At 51.7% G+C, this 10,565-nt stretch overlaps 1 annotated feature.

The window, feature by feature from the left end:
• Positions 589-1,322: an enhancer, noted in NCBI's record as "H3K27ac-H3K4me1 hESC enhancer chr6:170352442-170353175 (GRCh37/hg19 assembly coordinates)". NCBI's record gives its function as "activates a minimal SCP1, AML or CMV promoter by ChIP-STARR-seq in primed H9 embryonic stem cells {active_cell/tissue: H9 hESC(primed)}" and the evidence as "EXISTENCE:reporter gene assay evidence [ECO:0000049][PMID:30033119]".

The raw sequence follows: 10,565 nt of genomic DNA on the forward strand, positions 1-10,565 counted from the left end.
CCCAACAAGTTCCTCATCTCCATCTGAGATCTCCTCAGCCTGGACTTCATTTTCCATATGACTATCAGCATTCTGATCACAATAATTTAACATGTCTCTAGGAAGTTCCAAACTTTCCCTCATCTTCCTGTCTTCTTCTGAGCCCTCCACACTCTTCCAACCTCGGCCCTTTACCCAGCTCCAAAGCAGCTTCCACATTCCAGGGATCTTTATAGCAATGCCCCGCTCCTGGTACCAATTTTCTGTATCATTGCATTCTCCCATTGTTATAAAGAACTGCCTTATAAGGGTGACTTATAAGGAAAATAAGGAAAAGAGGTTTAATTGTCTCATAGTTTCACAGGCTGTACAGGCTTCTGCTTCCGAGGAGGCCTCAGGAAACTCACGATTGGGCAGAAGGCAAAGGGGAAGGTGTCATGACTCCTGTGGCCAGAGCGGGACACAAGAGGCAGCAAAGGGTGAGGTGCCACACCCCTTTAAATAACCAGCGAGAACTCACTATCATGAGAACAGCAAGGGGGAAATCTGCCCCCGTGATCCAGTCCCCTCCCGCCAGGCCCTCCTCCCACACTGGGGATGACAATTCAACACGAGATTTGGGCAGGACACAAATCCAGACCATATCACACACCTTGCTCCTCTAACACACAGGCAAAAACATCAGTCCCTTCCAGAACTTCTGAAGGTTCACAAAACACCCTGGGGAAACGTGTGCCTGTTTAATTTTTGTTAGAGTTTAACTCTGATGTTGAAATGCAAGCATTTTGAGTGTGAGGTGAGGGAACACTTGGAAATTTTCTCAGTCGGCCCCATGTGCTCTGGGACACTCAAAATCTCCCAGGCATCTCCACCAAGAGACCCAGCCCCACAGGATCCTCTGCTAAGAGTAGAGGATTATCCCTCCCCTCTGCCAGAGCAGCAGTGAATCACCTTTCAGGTGTTCGGGGTCAAGCCATTTTCACCATGACTACCTGCCAGAGCCTGAGGGTCCCAGCAGGACATCCCAGCTCCTGACCTGGCCCAGGACCTGCAGCCTCTGCCCAGACACACCTCCCAGGGCCCAGAACCAGCAGCCCCAACCTGGACCTGCTTCCCAGGGCCCAGGACCAGCAGCCCCCACCCAGACACGCTCTCAGAGGCCGCTCCAATCACACCCACGTCTCAGCTCTTACTAAGGCTCAGTTTCAGTTTTGCAATGCTTCTCATGTGCCTATCCCCCAAGCCTTTTCAATCTGCTAATTTTCCAGCAAATGAGACATGACAAAAAGTCTTGTTTATCTTAGCTAAATATCTCAATTAAAACACTCCATTCTGAAAGCATGACGTGGCATTTGGCACCTTCGTGGTAGCACAAAACAGCTGGCGAGATGCTCTGTGCTCCGAATGTCCACCAAGAGTCAGCTTCCGGACACTTCTGGACCCTCCCACACTGTCACAGGGGAGGGTGTGGGGGTATGGGTGCTCGAGTTATCCTCGTGTGAACCAGACGCCAGTGAGGGATGGGGACAACCACGGTGCCCTCAGCGCTGGCCATGGGTGCTTCCCACCGAGGGCCCTGAGGACAACATGGACATTCTGCTGTCCTGGGCACCTGGCACACCTGCATGTCCTTCTAGAGACCAGGGGTTTGGCTCCACCCCACTAGTTCAAATGTGAAAGCAGAAAGCTCTGCATGTCTCTGCTTAGAAACTTGCTGAAAGATAAAGGTCAGTGTTAAGCACCTTCTCTGTGTGAGACAGAAACAAGGAGGATCCCTGCCCTCAGGGCTGCTGGGGGGAGGTCCTGTTAGGAGGATGAGTGCTACAGTAACTGCTGTGTTCCCTGGGATGACGGCTGCAGTGGGGGCGAAGGTCAGATTCATGATGAGCACTTGGGTCCTGCTTCCCAGCTGTGCTGGGGGATGTGCACGGACACCACCCTGATGACCAGGAAAGCCCGGCCCAAGCTCACCTCTGACTGTGGACAGTGCGAGCTCTCAGATCTGTGCGTGGCAGAGGGCTGGTCCTCGTGGCCTCCAACCTGGGAAAATTTTACATAGACGTTACACTCCTGAAAATAAGTTGGCAAGTTATCCTGTAGCAAATGTTCTGAAAGAGTGAAGAAGTCTTTTATAAAACATGATACCACAAGCCAATGTTCTTTTTCACAAAAACCCAAATGCTTTCTTCCCATCCCAGAGGATCTGGATGGACTCAGCGGGTCTGAGGGGGGCTCAGTTCACTGGACGTCTACAAACCCCTGGGGGTTATTCCCACGTGCACACCAAGTGGAACCAGGAAGTAAACACTCTGGCTCACGGCCTGTGCATCTGGTGTGCATGAATCAGGAGGCCGACCCTCGGAAAGGTATGAGGGAGCCCACCTCCAGTCACCACCCCAGCCAGGCTCTGGGAAGAAGTCATTCCGTTTCTAGCTGACGTGCAAACTCTTCTGAACGATGTCAGACACATTCTTTATTTTCTGTTTACCTTTGTACTTTTAACTAATTTTAGTCTTACAGTAGAGTCACAAAAATAACAGCTCTTCCTGACACACCATATCCAACTTCCCTGAGTTAGCCCCTTAGCCCCAGCACGACTGCCAGAACCAGGACACTCACACAGTGCTATTCATGAAACGCAGACTTCAGATAAACCTCATGGTGTTTCCACATGGGCCCGGCTTCTGCTCCAGGGTCCATCAGGGTGGTCCCCTGCGTCCAGTTGCCTGTGGCCGTGGCTGCTCCCTTGTCTTTCGAACCTTGACACGTTGGAAGACTTGATCAGTTATTTTGCCAACTATCTGGTCTGTCCAATTGGACTGAAGTGAGGCACTATCGGCAAGAATGCCACAGAGGTGATGCCGAGTCCCTGCTGGGCGCGATGTCCCTGCTGTCCCTCCATGTCCCTGCTGTCCCACCATGTCCCTGCTGGCCCACCGTGTCCCTGCTGTCCCTCCATGTCCCTGCTGTCCCACTGTGTCCCCGCTGTCCCTCCGTGTCCCCGCTGGCTGTGTCCCCGCTGGCCCACCGTGTCCCTGCTGTCCCACCATGTCCCTGCTGTCCCACTGTGTCCCTGCTGTCCCTCCGTGTCCCTGCTGTCCCACCGTGTCCCTGCTGTCCCACCGTGTCCCTGCTGTCCCACCATGTCCCTGCTGTCCCACTGTGTCCCCGCTGTCCCTCCGTGTCCCTGCTGTCCCACCGTGTCCCTGCTGTCCCACCATGTCCCTGCTGGTGCACCGTGTCCCTGCTGTCCCACCGTGTCCCTGCTGTCCCTCTGTGTCCCTGCTGTCCCTCTGAGTCCGTGCTGGCCCACCGTGTCCTTGCTGTTCCTATGTGTTCTTGCTGGTCCACCATGTCCTTGCTGGGGCACTGTGTCTGGGGCTTACGAAGTACTAGTGGTCACCACTGGCTGTGGGCCTCCATCACTGGGGGAACAATGCTACCACTGCTTGCCCACTGTGAGGTTACAAAGTGATTCTCCTTTTTGAATAATAAATATCTTCTTAGCTAACTGCCTATCACATATGTCCATATTCAAGATTTGAAAAATCAAATTATCATCTCCCCAGGAATCAAAACATCCCCATTCCCTTCCACCCCCTGCAGAAAGACGGTTTCATCGGGAGTCTGTTAGAGCCAGGTGGGGAAGGGTGGCCGCCGGAATGTCCCAAGCCTGGCCTTGAGCTTCGGACCATCTGCCAGGAGTGACTGCCCGGGTGCTCAGGAACACCACTGTGAACTTAGAGGTTGAAGTCCTTGAGAAACCAGGCGTCTATAAATAAATATGTAAGTTAAAATATTGATTAAACTTCCATTTTTATAGAGTACCCAAGCACGCGACAGGAAGGAAAGTTTACTGGGAGGATCAGATCCCTGTTTAAGGGAAGAGGCCGTGGAGTTGTCCTCGATCCCAGGAGAAGACAGTCACACACTGTGCTTCTAAGAAAGAACTGGTCCCACCATAGGCGTGTGGCTGCCACAGATCCACGTCCAAGCAGAAGTCACAGCTGTTCAGAAAAGAAAGGCAAAAGGAAGAAAGACATCTCTGTTTGAAAAGTGTAAACCAAAAACAAAACTCTGAGGCCCTCCAGTCATCTGAATGGACTTCCTCCTCAGCCAGGGCTCTTAAAATGTAACCTGAGAGGTGGGTTCAGGCCATGACGGGAAGCGGGGGTCACACACGTCTCATTGTACCCCTCACTAACAGCAGCACAGACTTTGACAACAACATTTTGCACCCTATTCTGTCTGCAGCCTCCTAGCTAAAGCTTCATCTGCATGACAAAACCTTGCTCTCCACACCGTTATCTTAACCCAGACGTTCCTTTCTGCTGCATCTCAGGTCTTTGGACAAACTCAACCCATTGTCAACCAGAAAACCTTTAAATTTACCTGACACCTGGAAGCCTCCCCTCCCTGCCAGCTTTGCGTTGTCCACCTTTCTGGACCAAGCCACTCACCAATGTACTTCTCAAATGTCTTGGATTGGTGTCTTATGGCTCCCTAAAGTGTATAAATCCAAGCTGTCCCCCGACCACCTTGGCACATGTTCTCAGGACCTCCAGAGGGCTGTGTCACAGGCCATGGTCACTCATATCTGGCTCAGAATAAATCTCTTCAAATATTTTCTAGCGTTTGACTCTTTTTGTGCACAATAGCAAAGGCTACAAGTTTCTTTCTTTGCTCTGATTAATCAGCCCAGAGCCTCCTCTCTTGCCACCAGTGAAATTTAAAATGAACGAAGGTGTTTTACTGATGGGGTCTGTGCAGACCCAGTAGGCAGGGGGGTCCACTTTCCTGCTAGCTGTCCCTAGCGTCGTTGGCCAGGTGCAGAGGGGTCTGTCATTCTCCTACCAAAAATTTCACCCGTGCATGTGGGGCCTTTTGTAACACAGGATCTCAGGTCCCACTGCAGGTACAGGAATCAAAACCATCATTCCAGCCAGGCTCAAGGTAAATCCTGTGCCCAGGAAGGTGTGAGAAGCATTTCTCTGCGCCAGGAGCCCTCAAACTTTTCCTGTAACAGCCCAGAAAGTGAATACTTCAGGCCTTGCCGGCCACACTACTCCACTCTGCCACTGTGACATGAAAACCACCCGGGACAGTTTGTGATCAGAAGAGCAGGGCTATATTCTAATAAACTTTACTTGATTTGGCTCAGTTCAGCCCAGTTTGCCATAGGTGGGCAGCATCTTGGCTGGCAAGATGATAACGAAGCACCCCAGCTCTGAGCCACCCACATCTCACGTCAAATGGTAAGCCCCAGTGTTGCAGGTGGGGTCTGGTGGGAGGTGATTGGATTATTGGGCGGATTTCTCTCCTGTGCTGCTCTCGTGATGGTGAATGAGGGCTTGTGAGATTTAATTGTTTATAAAAGTGTGTGGCACCTCCACCACCCCTACCCCATCATCTCTAATCCTCCTCCTCTGGGCATGTGAGACATGCCTGCTTCCCCGTTGCCTTCTGCCTTCTGCCATGCCTGTAAGTTTCCTGAGACCTCCCCGGCCATGTTTCCTGTACAGCCTGCAGAACCATGAGCCAACGAAATCCCTTCTCTTTATAAATTACCCAGCCTCTAGACATTTATAAAGAGTGCAAGAACAGATTAATACACTTACAGACTTGTGGCAGGACAGGTGTGACCCTGGGCCAGTTTTCAGCCCCTGCTCAAGGTCAGTTACTGTCTGGAAACAGCCCCGTTTCCCTTGCAGATTCAGAAGGGAAAGGTCATGTTTCTAAACATGGAATAGGACATGGCGATTGTTGAGTCACACTGGAGAATTTGATTTGAATATAATTGGTTCACAAAACACTAGAAGCTAATGGATGCAAGAGTGTGGCCATAGTAATGATTTCAGGATGTCTTCCCAACAGCCCCGAGTGACAGATGTGTTATCATTTCCTTTTTATTCAGACAAGAACATTGAGGCTTGAAAAAGGTAAATTACTTACTCAAATTCCATGTTTAATAAGTAGGACTGGGATTTAAACCTAAGAGCTAACAGCAAAGCATTTTAGACCGTAAAGTATAAGAATAAGCGTGAATGCGATTCTCAGCCCAGTGTAAGACCAGGTATCGCCGGATGAGAGACGGCCACTCCTGGGAACAGTGGTGAAGCTGAAAGAGCCAGTCCTTCAAGGTGGATCCTGAGTGGCTAAAATAGAGCCCAGCGGCCGTTTGCTGTCTATAGGTCATACAAACACAGAGTCCCCCCAAAACCGCACCCTTGCACCTGGGATACTTTCTGGGCTCACCTGAACCAACCAATCAGAGCTCACCTGATCCAACCAATCAGAGCTCACCCAATCCAACCAATCGGAGCTCACTGGCTTTGGCCAAATCAAGACCCGACTGTTATCAACTAATCAGAACTCAGCTGCCTTGACCAATCAGAACTAAGCAAGTTTGAATCCTTCATTTGGATACACAGACCTGACTGAGACCTGGGTGGGAGCTTTTGCTATAAAACCGGAACGTTCCCTTTGTTCTCCAGGTACATTTGTTTACACCAAAGGCTGCATCTTCCCGGTTTGCAAACTGTGCACTGGAGTCTCCTTCTTCCAAACTCCTTTTCAGAGGATGTGTTTACTCTGTATTTATAACTTCAGGAGCGCAATCGCAGCCACGGTTTCTCTTGTTAGTGCTACATTACTTTGATTTTATAATCAGCCAAAATATTGTGATAAAAAAATCCCCTTTTCATAATCTGCGAATTTTAGACGTCACGTGGTATGACTCAAAGTCATACCCATTTCTTCCCAAGAAGAAAATTTACTCAAAATCCATAAAAGATTTGGCTCGGTTCGGCTCAGTTGGCCACAGGCAGGTAGCCTGTTGGCTGGAGGAACAGAAACGAACGACCCCCACTCTGAGCCGGCCTCAGAGACTTGTGGTCTAGCCGAATGCTCCCTGTAGAGGGAGATGGCTGTTTGTGTGTCCTTGGTGCAGGGATGGCAGAACAATCTGACGTCCGTTATTAACACATTTGTCATATCAGCCACCTCTTTAAACGGGTGTCCCAGAGTAACAAGATCCAGAAAAATGCCAGCAGTCTAGTTGGAACACAGGGTCCCACTGGCTGAGATACTGGCTGTCCTCAAGTGAGGACAGGCGCTATCAGGGACTGCAGCCACAGCATCCACATGTCAGGAATCAAAGGCCACCGTTTTCTCCGGCGTTTACATTCAGGCACGGTCCCCCTCGCCCCAGATCACATCTTCAGAGTCTCAACAGCCCAGCCACTGAAGAATTGCTGCAGCCCTGCATAACCTCATACCTGTCTGGTACGGATCCACTAGACTAAAGGCTGAGGTGGAAGAGGCTTTTGTGTCCCTCGGTGCAGGACAGACTTGTCCCTGCAGAGAAGTATTTACAATGAGGGCAGAGCTGGGGTGTGAAGGACCCTCCACACGGGGCTGCTCCCTTCTCCCTGCAACGCCACACAGGAGGCGGTCTCCACAGTGCCTCATCCCAAATGGCAGTGTCTAAGTTTGAACACTGTGTGGCCCTAACAGCACTGCCTGCGTCAGTGGCTGAACAGTCAGTTTTGAGGCAGGTGGGCCGTCTTTCACACAGGTAAGAATAGATGGGGAGACAGCATTGATGTGGCCCAGACCTATGACCTGTGAGAGAGCCTGGATCTCCACTGGCCAGTTACCCAAAGGAGGTACAAGTGAATGTGCCCACCAGGGGCTGTGACACATCAGGTGTAAAGTTGTTATCACTATGCCTGGCATGTAACAGGCTCAGAAAACACTGACCATTATTTTGCAAGAAAACAAGTAGCTCAAAATAGCCACAGTGATGATGAATTGGCAGCACTGCCTTCATTTCAGGATAAGGAAGCCGCCTGGAGGTGCACACCCAGACTGTACTGGGAAAGGAGGGTCCCTGAGCTCGGATCTGCACACCACTAACCAGCCCTTTGTGCAGGAGCCCTTGAGCTGTGGCCCTGGCTCACACCAGGTAAGAGAAAATATCTGTGGTCCTAACTAAACACAGCCAAACTTGGATGCCAGAGCCTACTGCCAGATGCATGTCCCCAGCTGAAAGGTGGCCACTGTGGCTAAGTGAGAGGGCTGGTTCACATTCCACAGAGCCTGTGCTCACAGTACCTGCATCCATGAAGCTGTGTCCACGGATCCCCATGTTTCAGGGACCTATGCTCCAGGGAGCCGGCAAATTGGAGACCCACGTTCCACAGAGCCTGTGCTCACGGCACCTGCATCCATGAAGCTGTGTCCACGGATCCTCACGTTTCAGGGACCTGGGCTTCAGGGAGCCAGCAAATGGGAGGCCCACATTCCACAGAGCCTGTGTTCATGGCACCTGCATCCACGAAGCTGTGTCCACGGAGCCCCATGTTTCAGGGACCTGTGCTCCAGGGAGCCTGCACATGGGAGGCCTATGTTCCACAGAGCCTGTGTTCACAGCACCTGCATCCATGAAGCTGTGTCCACGGAGCCCCAAGTTCCAGGACCTGTGCTCCAGGGAACCTACACATGGGAGACCCCCGTTCCACAGAGCCCACATTCCCTCTCTCCTCCATCACTTCTTCCTGGTCCTCGAAGCGTTTCTTTCAGGTCTGCCTGGTACTGCGGCTGCTTCTGAGGACTTTGGACCTGTGGGCTTCTCTGTCTCAGTGGGACCTTTGTCATCCCTGCTGGTCTAGTGGGAAAGCACCCTGAGCACGGCTGGCAAGCCAGCAAAATGAAGAAATGTGTGTGGTGCTGTCTGGCCAACTCCAGACTCCCAGCACTGCAAAGTCAGGAACTCGAAGTGACACAGAATCTCCGGTGGCATCAAGTGGCAGAGGCAGGTGGAGTTTGGCTGAGTTGTTACCTTGGTCTTTGTGATGCTTTGTGACCAGGGTCTGCTCTCTGGTGCCTTAATCCCAGGACAGCAAAAGAAGAAGGCAATCCTAGATCAACGTCTCTTGGCTTTTCTGGCCTGGCACCCAGAGTTCAGTTTCTTAAACTCTGCCTAACACACAGGTCGGCAGCACTTCCCACAGAACTGGACTCCCAGTTATGGCCGGGACTTTGGCAAGGACACACTCATTCATGAGCATCAAGAGTGATACCCATCCACGACCCTGAGGGCCTGCTGGTGCAAGACCCAAACTCAACATTTTCAGTGTGGCCTCCGCCTGCTCTTGGTCACCTGACCAGGTTTCTGTTCCTGAGCCCTGTGGATGGTTCAGACGTCCCCATCCACATGAGGGTCATGTGATGCGGCTTTAATTTCCACCTGGCAACCCTGGAAGCCCACGTGTGTCTCAGGAATGCATGGCTTCCATCTCCTCTACAGCCACAGGCAACAGGTCTACCTAGGGCATGTGTGGGCAGCACAGGGTGCATGGTCACCTGCAGTGGATGGTGTGGGCGGCACGGGGTGCGTGGTCTCCTGCGGTGGATGGTGTGGGCGGCACGGGGTGCGTGGTCTCCTGCGGTGGGTGGTGTGGGCGGCACGGGGTGCGTGGTCTCCTGCGGTGGGTGGTGTGGGCGGCACGGGGTGCGTGGTCGCCTGTGGTGGGTGGTGTGGGCGGCACGGGGTGCGTGGTCGCCTGTGGTGGGTGTGCGGGGCCTTCTGTGAGGCAGGACAGGCTCTACATGCACTTCGGCTTCTTGGCAGATCTGAGCGAATGAGAACTGCCCTGGGCTTCACTCCCGTTTAACTTTGCATGAAGAAGAATGTTCTCCACTCTGACTTTAAGCCAAGTGCTTGTCTAAGTGCTTCTCTGACAGGGAGACAACACTCCTTCCCCGGAGCCTTCCACTGGGCCTGGACATCTCCCGTCTCTGGGCTCTGAGTTAACTTTGTGATGCCAGCTCTTTGTGGGGTGTGCGCACGGCTGCAGGTGAGGAGACCTGTGAGAGTCGGAAGCCAGCTGCCACCCCAAATGATAAGCACATTGTAGCTGTCTCTGCATGGCTTCGTTGCATGAGGAAAGTCACTACTGTCAATGCAGGGCTGCTGGTCTCCACCTCGGAACGTGGCAGTGCACAATCCATCACTGCCCTGTGTTCGCAGGTCACAGAGAAAAGAAATGCTTTCTCTATTCCTTCTCGCAGTTAGTATTTTGTGATTATAGAAAAACTGTGCGTAGTTGGAAGTAGGGAAGGGAAGGAGGGAGGGAGGAAGAAAAACAGAAAGAAAATAAACCAAAAGAAAAAGAAGGAAGAAACCACCGTATTTTCAGTTTGCTTCGAATTATTAAAGTGGCTCAGGGAAAAAACTTTAATCTGAAAATAGTGGCCAACACGAGACAGGACGCCGATTGCTGCGTGAGTAAGAGGAAGCACCGCAGACCACCGCCGACGAAATTCTGGATTTTTTGAGGAGGGATTTCCTGAAGCGGGTGTTGAATATGGGCATGAAGCCACGAGGCTGAATCTAGATGTATGTTTCACGTTTCTCACAAGAGCTGATGTTGGTTTTTGATTGCAAAAGATGCCCATTGCAGAAAAACAAAAACATATGTGTCATGAGGAGCCTCAGAAACCTCCCCAAGCCCTCCACACAGAAGTGATTGTGAGTGCCGCTCCAGACCTCGCCCTATGGGATCTATAGGACCTGTAGACCT

Source organism: Homo sapiens, chromosome 6 (genome assembly GCF_000001405.40).
Source record: "Homo sapiens chromosome 6, GRCh38.p14 Primary Assembly".
Classification (NCBI taxonomy): Eukaryota; Metazoa; Chordata; class Mammalia; order Primates; family Hominidae; genus Homo; species Homo sapiens.